Genomic DNA, 18,077 nt, shown 5'->3' with positions numbered 1-18,077 from the left:
GCTACTCAGGACTTCGGGAGGGGGACTGAGGGTCCATCCTGCCCAAGGGCCTCGCCTGAGCCACTCCCTCCTGCCCACCTCCCTGAGACTCCTCCAAGCCCTGCCCACCTCCCAATTCCCAGTGCCATCCTGGGCCAGGGTTACACCACTTTCACCTAGATGCATGGCCCCAGCAGCCTCCATCCAGGTCTCTGTTGCAGCCTGACCACCCCGCCCCCTGAACCGTGCACCACTTAGCAGTCGTGATCCTTGTTTCCTCTCCAGCCTCCCCTCTCACTGCTGCCTCCACCATCCTACTCCTTCATGTCTCAGCAACTCACACCCACCATGCCCTTCCTGCCCCTCCCTAAACCCATTCGGACACACACACCACACCACGCTGGTCTCCCCTCCAGACCTCTGCCTGTGCTGTCTTCTCTTCCCTTCTTCACCCTCTTGGCCCGAAAAGTAATTCCTTCTGAGAATTTACGAACAACCAGCTCCTCCAGGAGTCTTCTCTGACTGCCTTCACCCCTGCCCGTCTTAGGTGCTTCCCATATGCTCCTGCAGCCCTCGGGGTTGCCTCAATCCCACCAGTGACCACCACAACCCCCATGAAACTGGGAAGGACCTCACCTAATGTGCTTCTGCATCCCCAGCTCTGAATACGGGGCTCTGTACATCAGAGTTGTCAGTTACTGACTCCCCAGGAAGCCACCAGGCATGGGTGAAGTGTGGAGGGGCCTCACACTAGTACTGAGATGAACTTCAGACATTTCACTAGCATGGGTCCTTATAATACAGAACTACAGAAACTTTCTGCTTTCTCCTCTCCTTCAACTTTTCTGATTACCCCAGGGAGAAAGGGCCAGTCTGGTGCTCCTATGCTTCCCACACTTCTCGATACTTTGTCATCTCCCCTCCATCCTTTATATTTTTTTAGACAGGGTCTTACTTTGTCACCCAGGCTGAAATGCAGTGGCACAATCATAGCTCGCTGCAGCCTCCAACTCTTGGGCTCAAGCAATCCTCCCGTCTCAGCCTCCTGAGTAGCTAGGACTATAAGCACACGCTACCATGCCCAGCTAGTTTTTAAATTTTTTGTAGAGATGGGGGTCACGCTATGTTGCTCAGGCTGGTCTTGAACTCCTGGCCTCAAGCAATCCTCTTGCCTTGGCCTCCCAAACATAATCTCCCTTTTTAACAAAGAGACGGCAGGCCTTAGGCAGGCTATAACATCTAGTTAGAACAGAATTACACCATTTAATCTCACTCTATTTTTATAGTTTCCTTCTATTCACGACAAGTTATACTGGCTTCTCGTTTATGGCAGGGATATAAAATATCTTTTAAAATAAGTTGTATAAATCTTAAGCGAGTCAATTTAAATCAAATGTTAAATAAATAATAGTACAAGTGATACACGAATATAGAGTGTAAAATACCACCAGATTTTAGGCTGGGGGTAGTTGGCTCACGCCTGTAATCCCAGGACTTTGGGAGTCCGAGGCGGGCAGATCACAAAGTCAGAAGTTCAAGACCAGCCTGGCCAACCTAGTGAAACCCCGCCTCTACTAAAAATACAAAAAACATTAGCCGGACGTGGTGGCAGGTGCCTGTAGTCCCAGCTACTTGGGAGGCTGAGGCAGGAGAATCGCTTGAACCCAGGAGGTGGAGGTTGCAGTGAGCTGAGATCGCACCACTGCACTCCAGCCTGGGCAACAGAGCGAGACTCCACCTCAAAAAAATAATAATAATAAAAAAACATATACAAGCAGATGCAAAATCTGGTGAAATCCTAGTAAGACCTGTAGTCTAGCTAGTTGTATTGTGTCAGTGTTAACACTCTGGTTTTGACAGTGTACTTACTTTAGTTACATAAACTGTTACCACTGGGGAAAGCTGGGTGATGGGTACCTGGGACCTCTTACTTTTGCAGCTTCTTGTGAACTTATAATTACAAATGCTTCTCGACTTACGATGGAGTTATGTCCCAATAAATGCATCATAAGTTGAAAATATCTTAAGTCAAAAATCCGTTTAAGTCCGGGCGTGGTGGCTCATGCCTGTAATCCCAGGACTTTGGGAGGCCAAGGCGGGCGGATCACAAGGTCAGGAGATCGAGACCATCCTATCTAACACGGTAAAACCCTGTCTCTGCTAAAAATACAAAAAATTAGCCAGGCGTGGTGGCAGGCGCCTGCAGTCCCAGCTACTTGGGAGGCTGAGGCAGAAGAATGGCGTGAACCCAGCAGGCAGAGCTTGCAGTGAGCCGAGATCGCGCCACTGCACTCCAGCCTGGGCGACAGAGCAAGACTCCGTCTCAAAAAAAAAAAAAAATCCATTTAAGGCCAGGCCCGGTGGCTCACGCCTATAATCCCAGCACTTTGGGAGGCCAAAGTGGGTGGATCACTTGAGGTCAGGAGTTCAAGACCAGCCCGGCCAACACGGTGAAACCTCGTCTCTACTAAAAATACAAAAAATTAGCCAGGCATGGTGGCGGGCGCCTGTAGTCCCAGCTATTTGGGAGGCTGAGGCAGGAGAATGGTGTGAACTCAGCAGGCAGAGCTTGCAGTGAGCCGAGATCGCGCCACTGCATTCCAGCCTGGGCGACACAGCAAGACTCTATCTCAAAAAAAAAAAAATCAATTTAAGGCCAGGCCCGGTGGCTCACGCCTATAATCCAACATGGTGAAACCTCGTCTCTACTAAAAATACGAAAATTAGGCAGGTGTGGTGGCGCATGCCTATAATCCCAGCTACTTGGGAGGCCCAGGCAGGGTAATTGCTTGAGCCTGGGAGACGGAGGTTGCAGTAAGCCAAGATCACACCACTGCACTGCAGCCTGGGCAACAGAGTGAGACTCTGCCTCAAAAAAAAAAAAAAAAGAAATACATTTAATAACGTGATAAAGCCATCATGAAGTCAAAAAATTGTAAGACCAACCGTTGGAAGTTGGGGACCATTTATATTTCAAAATAAGAAGCTCAAAAATATGAATTGCATCTGTTTCTTTTTACTTTTAAAATGTGACTATGAGGGCCGGGCACGGTGGCTCACGCCTGTAATCCCAGCACTTTGGGAGGCCAAGGCAGGCGGATCACGAGGTCAGCAGTTTAGGACCAGCCTGGCCAACATGGTGAAACCCCGTCTCTACTAAAAATACAAAAAGTAGCTTGGCGTGGTGTCGGGCGCCTGTAGTCCCAGCTACTGGGGAGGCTGAGGCAGGAGAATCACTTGAACCTGGGAGGTGGAGGTTGTAGTAAGCCGAGATTGCACCACTGCACTCTAGCCTGGGCGACAGAGCAAGACTCTGACAGACAGACACTCTGTCTCAAAAAAAAAAAAAAAAAAAAAAAAAGGTGACTATGAAAACATTTAAAATTACACATGTGTTACAATAATCAAGACAGAGTGGTACTGGCAGAAGGACAGATTCATAGATCACCGGAACAGAAGAACCCAGAAACAGACCTACAAGTATGTTCCCAACTGTCTTTTTGTTGTTGTTTTGTTTTTTTGAGATGGAGTCTTGCTCTATTGCCCATGCTGGACTGCAGTGGCATGACTTCGGCTCACTGCAACCTCCACCTCCCAGGTTCAAGCGATTCTTCTGCCTCAGCCTCCTGAGTAGCTGGGACTACAGGCGCCCGCCACCATGCCCAGCTGATTTTTGTTTTTGTTTTGTATTTTTAGTAGAGATGGGGTTTTGCTATGTTGGTCAGGCTGGTCTTGAACTCCTGACCTCAGGTGATCCACCTGCCTCGGCCTCCCAAAGTGCTGGGATTATAGACGTGAGCCACCGTGCCCGGCCCCAGCTGTTTTTTAACAGTGCAAGAGCAATTCAATGGAGGAAGGACATCTTTTCAACAAATGATGCTGGAGCAATTGAACACCAAAAAACGAAAAATGAACTTTGACCTAAATGACACACTGTATATAAGAAAAAAAAACTCAAAAGATTTTACCTCAAATGTAAACTAGAAAATTTTTAGGATAAATCGTAGGAGAAGATCTTCAGGACCTAGGGCTAGGCAAAATTTTCTTAGACTTGACACCAAAAGCACAATTCATAAAAGGAAAAATTGATAAACTGAGTTTCATTAAAAATTTAAAAATTTGTTTTGCAGAAAACCCTGCTTACAAGATGAAAAGTTACAGACTCGGAGGAAATATTTGCCAATCACGTATCTGAACAAAGGACTGTTATCAGAGTATATAAAGGACTCTCCAACTCCACAGGAAAAAAAACCAAACAATCCAATTAGAAGGTGGACAAAAGACGTTAGCAGACATTTCACCAGAGAAGATACACAATGGCAAATAAACACATGAAAAGACCTTCAACTTCATTAGCCGTTTAGGAAATGCAAATTAAAACAAGGAAATATCAATTATCCATGTCAGGTGGCTGAAATAAAAAATAGTGACAAGACAAAACTCTGGTGAAGATGCAAATGTGGATCACTCATATTTTGCTGGTGGACACAGAAAATGATACAGTCACTGCAGAAGTGTGGTAGTTTATTTTCTCTCCTTAGAGACAGGGTCTCCCGATGTTGCCCAGGCTGCACCTGAACTCATGAGCTCAAGCGAACCTCTTGCTGAGTGAGACTAAAGGCATGTGCTACTGTGAAAGTTTGCCAGTTTCATATAAAACTGAACATGCGACTACTATATGACCCAGCAATTACATTCTTACTCATTTATCCCAGATAAATGACAAGTTATGCTCATACAAAAACTGTACACGAATGTTCATTACAGCTTGATTTGTAACAGCCAAAAAACCAGAAACAACTCAGCTGTCTAGCAACAGGTGCTACAGCCACATCATGGAATACTACTCAGCCATCAAAAGGAATCAACTCTTGATACTCTCAACAACTTGGATGAGGTTTTATGCTGAGTGAAAAAAAGTCAATCCCAAAACATTACACACTGTATCATTCCATTTATATAACATTCTTGAGATGACAAAATTATAGAAATGAAGAACATATGATTAGTGGTTGCCAGGAATTAGGGCCAGGGTGTGGGTATGGGGGAGGTGAGTCTGGCTATAAAAGGACAACGTGGGGGTCCTTATAGCATTAAAAATGTACTGTATGTTGGCCGTGGTGATGGACACAGATCTACACGTGAGAAAACTGCAGAGAAAACACACACACACACACACACACACACACACAAATAAGTACAAGTAAAACTGGGAAAGTCTGATTAAGATGAGTATATTATACCATGTCAATCTTCTGGTTCCGATATTTTACTACCTTACAGTTTTACAAGATATTACCATCAGAAAAAAATTGGGTAAAAGATGCACATAGTTCTCCACATTAATTTCTTACAACTGCATAATCTACACTTAGTCCAAAATTTAAAAACGTAAAAATTGCCTATGTGGCTTGTGTTATGTTTCTATTGGACAGCGCCGCCTTCAGGTTCCCATCTTCCCCGTATCTCCCTCCCCTTCCTTGGTCCAGCGTGGAACCAGCACTCCCCAGCCCCACAGTATCTGGCTCCTTTTGTTGCCAAAGATCCCAGTGCCCATGGCAGGTAACCGACCTCTTTCCTTTCTGTTTCCGTCATCCCGAACTGGTAGTGGCCCAGGAGGAAGGGCCACACGGCCTTGCGGATCTCAGGCTGGATGCCCCCGTAGTAGATGAGGCGCAGCAGCTCCTGCTCCTCGTAACTCTGTGGTGGGTGGAGAGGAGCAAAGAGTTTGGTCAACAGAAAACCAGGGGGTGGTTTTAGTAGGGATGGGGTTTCACCATGTTGGCCAGATTGGTCTTGAACTCCTGACCTTCAGTGATCTGCCCGCCTTGGCCTCCCAAAGTGCTGGGATTACAGGCGTGAGCCACTGCACCCAGCCACCCTGAGCTATCTTCTTCTCTTTGAGACAGAGCGCTCTGTCACCCAGGCTGTAGTGCAGTGGTGTGATCTTGGCTCACTGCAACCTCCGCCTCCCAGTTTCAAGTGATTCTCCTGCCTCAGCCTCCCGAGTAGCTGGGATTACCAGTGCTTGCCACCACATCCAGCTAATTTTTGTATTTTTAGTAGAGACGGGGTTTCACCATGTTGGCCAGGCTGGTCTCGAACTCCTGACCCCAGGGTGGTCTCGGACTCTGATCTCAGGTGATTCGCCCTCCTTGGCCTCCCAAAGTGCTGGGATTACAGGTGTGAGCCACTGCGCCTGGCCACCCTGAGCTAACTTCTCACCAATATTCCTCAACTTCTGTGCACCTGTCCTTCTAGAATACTAATTGGCAACACCCTAACTGTATCATTATGATCTACTTCCATGATCTACTTGGAGGCATGATCTACTTCTATGATCTACTTCCGTGGTCCAGCAGTCCTGCTTCTTGGACCTAGCCCTCAGATATCCTGGCGTGAATAAGGAAAGTCACAGGTACTTGGATATCTGTCGTGGCATCATATGAAAAAGCCAAACTCAGGTAACTCTCCAACTGCGCATCAATGGGTGAACATGCGTCCCTACACGGGTACGCAACACAGAGATGTAAAAGAGCGAGGGATACATCTATGGGGACCCACATAAAAAGGTGTTCAGCTGGGCGTAGTGGCTCACGCCTGTAATCCCAGCACTTTGGGAGACCGAGGCAGGCGGATCACGAGGTCAGGAGTTCCAGACCAGCCTGGCCAACATGGTGAAACCTCGTCTCTAAAAATACAAAAATTAGCTGGGCACAGTGGTGCCCAACTACTTGGGAGGCTGAAGCAGAAGAATCGCTTGAACCCGGGAAGCGGAGCTTGCAGTGAGCCGAGATTGTGCCACTGCACTCCAGCCCGGGTGACAGAGCGAGACTCCATCTCAAAAAAAAAAAAAAAAAAAAAGGTGCTCAATGTGTGTCGCTAATCGAAAAAAAAAAATAAGTTGTAAAACTATGTGGTATGAGTCCGTTTATGTAAAAAGAGAAAGGGGAGGCTATAATGAATTAATATTTTAATTAATTTTAAGCCCATTTTTGCCTTATGCTTATTTGAAAATATTATCTTGCAATTATTAATCTTGACTCAGCTCTAGGAAAATTTCTTGGCTGGGCGCAGCGGCTCACGCCTGTAATCCCAGCACTTTGGGAGGCTGAGGCGGGCAGACCACCTGAGGTCGGGAGTTTGAGACCAGCCTGACCAACATGGAGAAACCCCGTCTCTACTTAAAATACAAAATTGGCCAGGCACTGTAATCCCAGCTACTTGGAGGCTGAGGCAGGAGAATTGCTTGAACCCAGGAGGCGGAGGTTGCAGTGAGCCTAGATCATGCCATTGCACTCCAGCCTGGGCAACAAGAGCAAAACTCCATCTCAAAAAAAAAAAAATTATCTAAAGCAAATTAATCCAAAGTGTACAATTCTCGCTGCTACCTCATACACTAATATCTTTTGTGCACACTAGGATGACTTTAACAGGTATGTGGTGTATGGTGGGGTTGAGTTTGTCTGTTTTCTTTTTAAAATTTCATTTTCAGGCAAAGGTTTTGCAGTTACAATTAGTCAAGCTGTGGGGCCAGCAGGTCCTAACTGTACATGCGCTGTGGGAAGTGATGGTGTTGGAAGGCTGCCCTGAAGGGCCCTGGGGCCTCTTCCCCCTCATCTATTCACATTCCGATATTAAAAGCCTATTTCACTTTAGTCTTAGGTGTACTCAACCACAATGGCAAGCTAATTTTTCTATTTTTAGTAGAGATGGGGTTTCACCGTGTTTGACAGGCTGGTCTTGAACTCCTGACCTCAAGTGATCCACCCTCCTCAGCCTCCCAAAGTGCTGGGATTACAGGCGTGAGCCACCGTGCCCATCCCAGCTGATGCTTAATAATAAATGCTACAGACTGATTTGTTCTTTACTCCTTCCAGGTGAGCATATGTTTTACCTCCCATTCAATCTCCACACTGATGGGCAGAAGTGAGCTGTAGGTCTTGGAACTCTCAAGGAGAAGGGGAACTCCAATTTGCATATGCAGAATCCAAGCACGTCAGCTCAAGTCCCCACAAGCATGTGGGCTTATTTCTCAGATAATAAGATGACCCCCCTGCAGCCTCTGCATCACTGCAGACCAAGCCCAGCTAAGCCTTACTGTGCTGTCGTGAAGGTACTGCTCCCAGATCCTGGCTGTCAGTCCCTGTCCAGCATCGCAGGGCAAGTCTGGAGACACGATCATGTGATTGACCAGGGCTGATAGGTGGGTTCTCACGGTGGACAGGTGTCTGCAGTAGGCCAGCCCTGTTGAGGGAGGGAGGGAAAGTGTCATCATCCACCACCTGAAGCCCCTCACCTTGTCTCATGGGACTTCCCAAGTTCTGTCCCACCTCAAATTTTTTAAAATTTTTGTTTTGAGACAGAGTCTTGCTCTATTATTTATTATTATCATGGCTCACTGCAGCCTCAACCTCCCAGGCTGATGCGATCCTCTCACCACAGCCTCTCGAGTACCTGGGACCAGAGGCACGCGCCAGCACGTCTGGCTAATTTTTTATTTTTTGTAGAGACGAGGTTTCACCATCTTGCCCAGGCTGGCCTCGAACTCCTGGACTCAAGTGATCCTCCTGCTTCAGCCTCCCAAAGTGCTGGGATTACAAGCACAAACCACTGCACCTGGCCCACTCCTGATCTTACTAAACGCCATGACTCAGTGAATTCTTGTCAACTTCCCCTTTTCCAGACAAGGAAGACAGAGCTTTATGCACTTGCTGGCTGGACTGCTAAATAGCTCTATAACCCTAGGGAAGTCTTATCACCTTTCTCAGCCTCAGTCAGGGTGATGGCACCCTTCTCTGCTCTAAGCCAAAGCATTTAATTCATAGGCTAGAGGCAGAGAAGGGGGTAGAAAGGAAGGTGGCCAGTGACTCTGTGGGCTTGCTGTGCCTCTGTCTGTCTCTAATCCATACAGCAAGAAAGAGAATGTGAAACGTGGACAACTCCTGTTCAAATTGCAGCTGAATATTTATCCAAAAGAAAGGAAACAAAGATATATCTGCACCCCCATGTTTACTGCAACACCATTCATGATAGCCAACATACAAAATCAACCTAAATGTCCATCAGTGAATGAATGGATAAAGAAACCGTGGTGGCCGTGCGCGGTGGCTCATGCCTGTAATCCCAACACTTTGGGAGACTGAGGCGGGCGGATCACGAGGTCAGGAGATTGAGAACATCCTGACTAACACGGTGAGACCCCGTCTCTACTAAAAAAAAAAAAAATACAAAAAAATTAGCTCATGGTGGCCGGCACCTGTAGTCCCAGCTACTCCGGAGGCTGAGGCAGGAGAATGGCGTGAACCCAGGAGGCGGAGCTTGCAGTGAGCTGAGATCGCGCCACTGCACTCCAGCCTGGGCGACAGAGCGAGACTCTGTCTCAAAAAAAAAGAAAGAAAAAAAAAAAGAAACCGTGGTATACAAATGTGATGGAATATTATTCAGCCATGAAAAGAATGAAATCCTGTCATGCGCAGCAGCATGGATGGAGCTGGAGGTTATGTTAAGCAAAAAAACGCGAGGCACAGAAAGACAAATATCACATGTTCTTACTTATAATGGGATCTAAAAAAGTAGTTTTCATGGAGGTGGAGAGTGGACTAGTGGTTACCAGAGGGTAGGAAGGGAAGGAGGTCAGAAGGATGCAGAGACGTTGGTTAATGGTACAAAAATACAGTTAGATGGAATACGTTCTTGTATTGGATGGTATAGTGGGGAAATTATAGTTAATAATTTATTGTATATTTCAAAATAGCTATTATAGAAGAACCGTAACGTTCTCCAAATGAAGATAAATGTTTGAAGTGATGAATTTCACAATTACCTGGACTTGATCAATACACAATGGATACATCTATCAAAATATCCTATGTACCCCTAAAATATGTACAACCACAATATATCTATCAAAAAATAAATAAAAAACAGGGCGGGGCACAGTGCCTCAAGCCTGTAGTCCCTGCACTTTGGGAAGCCTAGGTGGGCAGATCTGTTGAGCCCAGGAGTTCAAGACCAGCCTAGGCAACATAGTGAGACCACATCTCTACAAAAAAAATACAAAAAACTAGCCAGGCATACTGGCACCGGCCTGTAGTTCCAGCTACTCAGGAGGCTGAGGTGGGAGGATCGCTTCAGCCAGGGAGGTAGAGGGTGCAGTGAACCATAATTGCGTCTAGCCGGGGTGACAAGGCGAGACCCTGTCTCAAAAAACTAAAATAAAAGTAGAAATTTTAAATTTAAATAAAAAAAAATACAAAAATTGAAGCTGGATTAAAAAGGCCCCCCCCCAAGTCAGTAACCAGGGAGATGCTGACAGGGCATCAAGTTTGCTTTCAAAGATGGCCCTGCCTTCTTAAAGCATATCCACCAACGTGCCACCCCTTATCTGGCCCACACTGGCACCTGGAGGGTGTTAGGTAAAGTGCCTCAGCAAATGGCAGCCTGTGCTGTTTGCTCTGGCTGTGCCCCTTCCTTCTGGCTCTCCAAGACTATTTCATCCTCAGTTCTCAGAGAGAACCCTGGACCTTCTGGAGACTGCAGACTAAACTTTAACAAAAGAGACAGTCATAGTGATGATGATGAGGAGGAGGAGGATGATGATGATGACGATGATATAATAGCTAACACTTACACAACACACGCTGCATGGCAAGGAACTGTTCCCAGAGTTGCATAACTATTTTTGTTGTTGTTGCTGGTTTTTTTTGTTTTGTTTTGTTTTGTTTTGTTTTTGAGACGGAGTCTCGCTCTGTCACCCAGGCTGGAGTGCAGTGGCGCGATCTCAACTCACTGCAAGCTCCGCATCCCAGGTTTATGCCATTCTCCTGCCTCAGCCTCCTGAGTAGCTGGGACTACAGGCGCCCACCACCACACCCGACTAATTTTTTGTATTTTTAGTAGAGACGGGGTTTCACCATGTTAGCCAGGATGGTTTCAATCTCCTGACCTCGTGATCCGCCCACCTAGGCCTCCCAAAGTGCTGGGATTACAGGCGTGAGCCACCACGCCCGGCCCAGAGTTGCATAACTTAACTCATCCCATTCTCCCCACAACCCTAGGAATTAGTTACTATTATTATCTCCATCTTTTTTTTTTTTTTTTTTTTGAGACGGAGTCTTGCTTTGTCACCCAGGCTGGAGTGCAGTGGCGCAATCTTGGCTCACTGCAACCTCTGCCTCCTGGGTTCAAGCGATTCTCCTGCCTCAGCCTCCCAAGTAGCTGAGACTACAGGCGTGTGCCACCATGCCCGGCCAATTTTTTTGTATTTTTAGTAGAGACGGGGTTTCACCATGTTGACCAGGCTGGTCTCGAACTCCTGACCTCAGACAATCCACCCACCTTGGCCTCCCAAAGTGCTGGGATTATAGGCGCAAGCCACCGCGCCTGCCCATTATTTCCATCTTATAGATGGGGTAAACTGAGGTACAAACCGGTTATGTCACTTGCCCAAGTCGCATCGCTGGGATCTGAAACCAGGTCACCTCGCTCCAGAACTCAGGTTCTCAGTCACCATTAGGGATGAGCCACATTGTCCAAAGACATTGCTCCAGACCCATCTCGACTCCCCCACCCCTTCCTGCTTCCATTTGGGTCCAATAAATACTTGCCCAATGCCTACTTCATGCCAGGTCCTGCATTAGGCACTGTGGATGGGTGGCAACAGAACAGATAAAACCCCTGTCCTAGTGAAGTCACACTCTCCCTGCCTCTCCAGGCACTCAGGGTGTGAGCTCCACTGCTGTTTCACAGACCCATGCAGGTTGTATTAAGATGTTTCTAGAATTCCTGAAAATACACACACGTTTTATCTTCCCCATCTAGGCTGTCAGGCTGGGGAAATAAAACTGAAAAATCAAGGTGGCAGAGACAGATGTGGTGGCTCATGCCTGTAATCCCAGCACTTTGGGAGCCTGAGGTGGGTGGATCACCTGAGGTCAGGAGTTCGAGACCAGCCTGGCCAACATGGTGAAACCCGTCTCTATTAAAAACAGAAAAATTAGCTGGGTGTGGTGGCGGGTGCCTGTAATCCCAGCTACTCAAGAGGCTAAGGCAGGAGAATGGCGTGAACCCAGGAGGTGGAGCTTGCAGTGAGCCGAGATCAAGCCATTGCACTCCAGCCTGGGTGACAGAGCGAGACTCTGTCTCAAAAAAAAAAAGACAGCAGAGAGGAAAACACAAAGCTTTTGGAGTCAGACATGCCAAGGTTTGAGTCTCAGCTCTACTGCTTGTTAGCTGTGTGACCTTAGGCAAGTCATCTTGCCTCTCTGTGCCTTAGTGTCTTCATCTGTTAAACAGGAATAATCATAATACAAGTATTATGAATTTAATATTTAAGTTTTGGGGGAGGGATAAGGTCACCTTACTCTTTCTGCTCTTTCTGCCCACGAGAGAAGGAAACTGACATTTATTGAGCACCTACAGCATGCAATACTAGGTGCTGGGGCTTTCTACGTGGTCCTCATTCAATCCTGAAAACAAATCCTCCACTGTAGCACCTGGGGATGCAGTGGTGATTAAACCAAATCTCTGTCCCCAGGGGACCCCACTGTCCACTGTCCTCTCTCAGGACCCAGGGGTAAAATTTATCCCGTCAGTAGACAAGAAAACTGAGGCTCAGAGAAGTTCATGTAACGTCACTGAAACCAGACATCTAGGGAATAGAGGAGGAGAGGTTCAAACTCCAGAGCCAGTATCTTTTGATATTGCTGGCATACAGCAGGCACCAATAGCTGCTCCACGGAGACACACTGGCAATGGAGCCCTATACGTACATCCATAGAAGGCTCTGGAGAGGATCTGGTACTTCATATTGTCACAGAGAAGTTTCAGGGGAGCCCTGCAGGTGGAGAAAGAGGGAGATGCTTAGAATAGATCCAAACACAGCCCAGATTTTCTGGAGAGGATAACCACGTGCTATCTCTAGAGGGCAGATTAATATCAGCCAGTCAGGGAGACTGTAGGGAGGGCTGCTATTACCTCTACCTGTACAGCATCATTGCCTCTTCTGGTACCGGCCCCCTGATTTTCCCTTGAGAAATCACGCTCTCCACAACTGTCTGTGTGGTTTGTATGTGGATGACTCTGCCCACTACAGGACTCAGGTTGGAGTCACAGTGATTGGGGCAGAGATGGTCATGTGACCCAACCTGAGCCAATGAGAATTAGCCCTGGGACTTTTGTTGGAATTACTAGGTAACAGACACTTTTCTGAATGGGTTTCTAAGCCAGTGGGATATAGGGCAGTGGCTGCTGGGAGCCATCTTTGCCACTGCATAGGAAGCACCTGTCTGAGGATGGAACCATCATAGAAGCAAGCAGAGCCAAGAGCTGAAGAAACAGAGATTCCTATTTCGATCATCTGTATCCAGCCATGCCTGAAGCCACTGTGCCTCTAAGCTTCTCAGTTACACCAACAAATTTCCTTTTGTACTTGAACCAGTTTGAAGTGGGTTTCTATCACTTGCAGAAAGAGTTCTGATTTGTAAAGTGATCCAGCTGAACCAAGCTGAGCCAAAGTGGGATTCAGAGTCTGGCTGATTGCTAAGTAGGTGATGCCTCAAAGCTTCTCCTTGCATGGGAATTTTTGGGAACTTTTTCGGCTGAAAGAGGTGAGAGGAGTCAGATTCTAGCATTGTTGGAGAAATCCAGGACTGCTGAAGGGAGTGTTGTACACTCTCATAGAGGATAGAATGGAAGAATATCTGCATATTTGTTCTCAGGACATCCCAGGAGACATCCAGAAAAACAGGTAGACTGGGGCAGGGCAGAAGGAGCATAGCTGAAGTCCTCCACTTAGGCACATTGAGACAGTTAGGAACATTAAACAGTAAAGAGTTCCCCTTTGTGCCCTCAGGTTGATGAGGCTCAGACTTGCTCAGATTACATCAGAATAGGATCACATCAACAGCTTTCCCGCTGTAGACTTCGCTTTCTGCAAAGTAGTGAGCTCTCCATCACTCCAAGTGTGTAAGCAGATGCTACAACAGGAGAGGGGGCAATGGGTTATAGCAGCCTTTCTCACTGGTCCACGGACCATCAGCCCAAGAGTTACTTGGAATTTCTCCAACATGTGGATTCCTGGGTCCTGCACATACCTACTCAGTCAGGACCTCTAGGAAATAGTCCAGGAACTGATATGTTTTGCCACCTAGCCCAGGTGATTCTAATGCATGATAAGAGAATCTCCAGGCGGGGCGCGGTGGCTCATGCCTGTAATCCCAGCACTTTGGGAGGCCAAGGTGGGCGGATCACTTGAGGTCAGGGGTTCGAGAGCAGACTGGCCAACATAGTGAAACCCCATCTCTACTAAAAACACAAAAACTAGCCAGGAATGGTGGCACATGCCTGTAGTCCCAGCTACTCGGGAGGCTGAGGCAGGAGAATTGCTTAAACCCGGGAGGCGGAGGTTGAAGTGAGCCAAGATCATGCCATTGCACTCCAGCCTGGGCGACAGAAAGAGACTCAGTCTCAAAAAAAAAAAAAAAAAAAAAAAAAAGAAAGAAAGAATCTCCAGTAATATTAGCACTTCTCAAACTTTAAAGTATACACATGGTCTTGAAACCACGTTAAATACAGGTTCTGATTCAGGAAGTTTGGGATGAGAGACTCAGAATTTGCCCAGGTGCTGATGCTGGTTCACGGACCACACCCTGAGGAACCAGGGGATTGGATGACTCCAAAAATTTGATGCCAGCCCCCACCCCTTATATCCTATGGCTGATGACTGGACCACCCACTAGGACAGAAGCCCCGCAAGGACAAAAGGGTTCTATTTTCTCAGGCCAGGCCAGGTTGGACCAGGGGAAAACAAGATCAGTCTCATGAATTGGCTGAAGAGTTTCAAAGAGACAAAGGATCTATGGGCAAACAGAAGATGAGCTTGAGATTTAACTTTATATAATAAAACATTAAGTGTCATTTACTGAACAGTACCATGTGCAGGTGCCACATTCTGGCCACTTTAAACCATTACCTGAGCTGGTCCTTACCACAGCCATATAAAGTTAAGAACTGGAATTTCCACTGTGTGGGGGTGCAAACTGAGATGTGGTTGTTGTTAAATAATATTTCTGGGATTATTTTGCCTTCTAGGTGTATGGTAGGGCTGCACTTACTGTCCCCTTGTGGATGGGGCCAATGGGCTGTGAGTGGATATGACATGTGCTGCTTTTGGGCAGAGCCTTTTTATCGTAGGTTCCAACCTCTGCAGAGCTACCTTTCCCTGTCATTGTAACTGGCAACATTCAAGATGGTAGCTGCTCCATCACCCAGGCCCTTTAGTGTGGAAAAAACAGCCACCAGCTGACCCATGATAGAAACACAGCATGCATGATAAATAAACTTTTGTTGTAAAAAAGCCACTGAGGTTTTAGGACTGTTTGTTACTGCAGCATAACCTTGTTTATCCTGACTATTACATGTAACCTCTAACAGCTAGGATTTCATGGCCAGGATTTAACCTATATCTGCCTGAGTCCGCAGGTTATGCTCACTCTGAATTCAGTGCAGGGTAAGACATGGGCATCTACAGATCTCTGGTACATCCTTCAGCTCTCTCCATCTGCAGCTCAAGCCCCTCATACCTCTCATGGTTGCAGCCATTGGTCGAGCTACCATCAGCCGAGCCACTCTGTGAACAGGATGAACAGGAGGACTTCCGGGGACTGGGCTGCCACAGGGATGGGAGGTTGCTTACAGAGACGTCCATCAGATCCTGGGGCACTGTGGTGGATAGAAGGAGGGGCAGAAGAATCACCCTGGTTAAACCTATGTGGGTCACAGAAATCTCACCCTAGAGCAAGCAGCTCACCCGCCCCAGCCAGCACAGAGATAGGAAAAGACCCTGAAGATGACAGTAGGAAACAGCAGCCCTAATCATCCTTGAGTTTGCCTGATCCAATGAAAGCCACCACCAAAATCTGGGGCAGAGCTGATGACAGCCAAAGAGAGAAGAAGAGGACACAGAGAGCCAAGAGCCAAGAAACCAGGCCCAATCCCAGAGCAGGAGGCCAAGCCTTGCCATGTTGTCACTTAGTCATGCTCACAGGATGCTGCAGGAGGGAAGGGGAGCCTGCTGGATGATTCTGGAGAAGAGACAGGCCTCATGGCTGAGATGGAAGGGAGCCTGACTCAATAGATGAGGCAGGGCACCCAAGTGCCAGAGACCCAGTGAAGCCCCTGCTGAGGAAGAGGGCACCTGCGCTGTCCATGGTCCTGAGGCTAAAGCTGCTCCAGCAAGTGGGTCTCAAACATATTAGCAACTCCCTAAAATCACGTGGGAAGCTTGTTAAAAAGCAATATGGCTGCCCCACACTCCTGGCCTACTCAACTAAATCCTAGAGACAGAGCTCTCAAATCTGTATTTCTAAAGCAATTTTGATACAGCAGGTATATTCGATGGACTCTGATTTCCTAACTTTTGGACACTGGTGATTCCTGACCAGCCACTCTCAGGATACAGCACTCATAGCTTCCTTTATTTATTTTTCTTTCTCAGCTTCATAAGAACTGCAGAGTCTACAAAACCACGTAACAAACATACTGGGGACATATGCATTACCATTTCTATAGTCAACTTCCTGGCCTCTTGGTAGTCCTAGACAGGTGCAAAAGCTTTATTTTCTTTTTCTTTTTTCTTTCTTTCTTTTTTTTTTTTTCTGAGATGGAGTCTCGCTTTATTGCCCAGGCTGGAGTGCAGTGGCGTGGTCTTGGCTCACTGCAAGCTCCGCCTCCTGGGTTCACGCCATTCTTTTATCTTCTTTAAAACAGGGATCCATAAAAACTTTTTCTGTAAAGGGACAGCTAGTAAATATTTTAGTGTTTGTAAGCCATTTGGTCTCTGTCATAAGCACCTGACTCTGTTGTTCTAGTGCAAAAGTAACCATAAACAAAATGTAAAAAAGGAAGCATGCACATGTTCTAATAAAATAAACTTTATTTATAAATACTGAAATGTGAATGTCATATCATTTTCATGTCACAAAATATTACTCTCCTTTTGGCTTTTTTGGATCATTTAAAAATTGAAAAAACATTCTTAGCTCATAGGCTGGTACAGAATGGGGCTGAATTCAGCCCATGAATCTTAGTTTTCTAATCCCTGCTGTAGGAAGTGAAGAGAGTTGCACACTTTTTTTCCCATATGTCATGGTCCCCACAGGACAACTGGTAATACCCTGACTCTTCCTTGGGCCCCAAGGTAAGGGAGAGTTGTGGAACTGCTCCTCTTGCCATCAGAGCTCCGTAGCTGACAAGGTCAGCCCCTACCCACAGACAGAAGAGGAAGCTGCCTGTACGATGTAATTCTTGCAGCCACCAAATGTGGCTTGTTACACTATTCTTCCCCATGTAGACTCACCCATGAGCTAGCCAAGATCAGTAAGCCCCTGTAAAATGTTCTAGAAGAAAAGCCCCAGTTCTTAGCCAATCTCAGGGATGCACTGACCAGTTTAGCCCAAGCATGGCAACCATGCCTTCCTCCATCTCAGCCTCTCACACCCACATCCATGCAGACATCACCAATTGATCCCTTCGCTACTGAACCTACAACACTGCAAGCTGCCTTCCATAGAGTGGAGGCTGGACAGCAGGAGGGCATCAATCCCTCTGCCTCCATCTCCCTTCCTGCCTCCATCTCCCTTGGGACCAGAACTCAAATGACAACATGGCAGAGGTGGCTGGCACCCAGCCCCTGGGGACGGGGAGATCCCAGACATTACTGGGGGGCTGCTCCTTCGGGCTTGGCGTGGGGAGAGTAGTGTCCCATCTGGCTGGCTCCCACTGACTCCCTCTGGCCACCACCAGCATGGACCGGCCTGCAGGAACCATCATCCAGGCAGGGCCCACAGAGACGGAGGAAGTGCTGCCCAAGAAGTCGGGGGCAACTTGAGACACAAAACAGAAAGAACCAGTGAGGTGGGGGTTCTGCGGTGGGCAGGACACTGAGACAGCTGGAAGAGCCAGTTTCTGGGGGCTCCAACCCTCCCCCTTCCCGGCTCCACACAGCTCCCACATTCACTGTGTTCAATTAGAAGAAAGAATGCTGATTTTTATAAAGTGCCAACTATGCGCTGAGTGTCAGGCTAGGAAGTTTACGA

General features: G+C 47.2%; 1 protein-coding gene across 4 annotated transcripts in view, besides 2 other annotated features; it reads right to left on the bottom strand.

Moving 5' to 3' along the window:
- SGSM1 (small G protein signaling modulator 1) overlaps positions 1 to 18,077 on the bottom strand; it is a 121,368-nt gene that overhangs the window by 35,300 nt on the left and 67,991 nt on the right. For 2 of the 4 annotated variants that reach the window (NM_001039948.4, NM_133454.4), the window contains exons 13-17: positions 17,700 to 17,864; positions 15,564 to 15,702; positions 12,753 to 12,817; positions 8,081 to 8,226; positions 5,551 to 5,679 (exon numbers count right to left, since the gene is read on the bottom strand). In NM_001039948.4, coding sequence (NP_001035037.1) covers positions 5,551 to 5,679; positions 8,081 to 8,226; positions 12,753 to 12,817; positions 15,564 to 15,702; positions 17,700 to 17,864 — 644 coding nt within the window. The remainder of the gene's footprint in view (positions 1 to 5,550; positions 5,680 to 8,080; positions 8,227 to 12,752; positions 12,818 to 15,563; positions 15,703 to 17,699; positions 17,865 to 18,077) is intronic. The other 2 variants (NM_001098497.3, NM_001098498.3) reach the window with 1 other exon arrangement.
- Positions 136 to 637: an enhancer, noted in NCBI's record as "H3K4me1 hESC enhancer chr22:25287609-25288110 (GRCh37/hg19 assembly coordinates)". NCBI's record gives its function as "activates a minimal SCP1, AML or CMV promoter by ChIP-STARR-seq in primed H9 embryonic stem cells {active_cell/tissue: H9 hESC(primed)}" and the evidence as "EXISTENCE:reporter gene assay evidence [ECO:0000049][PMID:30033119]".
- Positions 16,070 to 16,270: a silencer, noted in NCBI's record as "peak4474 fragment used in MPRA reporter construct". NCBI's record gives its function as "represses an SCP1 promoter by STARR-seq MPRAs in K562 erythroleukemia cells {active_cell/tissue: K562}" and the evidence as "EXISTENCE:reporter gene assay evidence [ECO:0000049][PMID:32103011]".

This window comes from Homo sapiens, chromosome 22 (assembly GCF_000001405.40).
Source record: "Homo sapiens chromosome 22, GRCh38.p14 Primary Assembly".
NCBI lineage: Eukaryota > Metazoa > Chordata > Mammalia > Primates > Hominidae > Homo > Homo sapiens.
The sequence above is the reverse complement of the archived record's forward strand: the minus strand, read 5'-3'. Positions and strand labels throughout refer to the sequence as shown.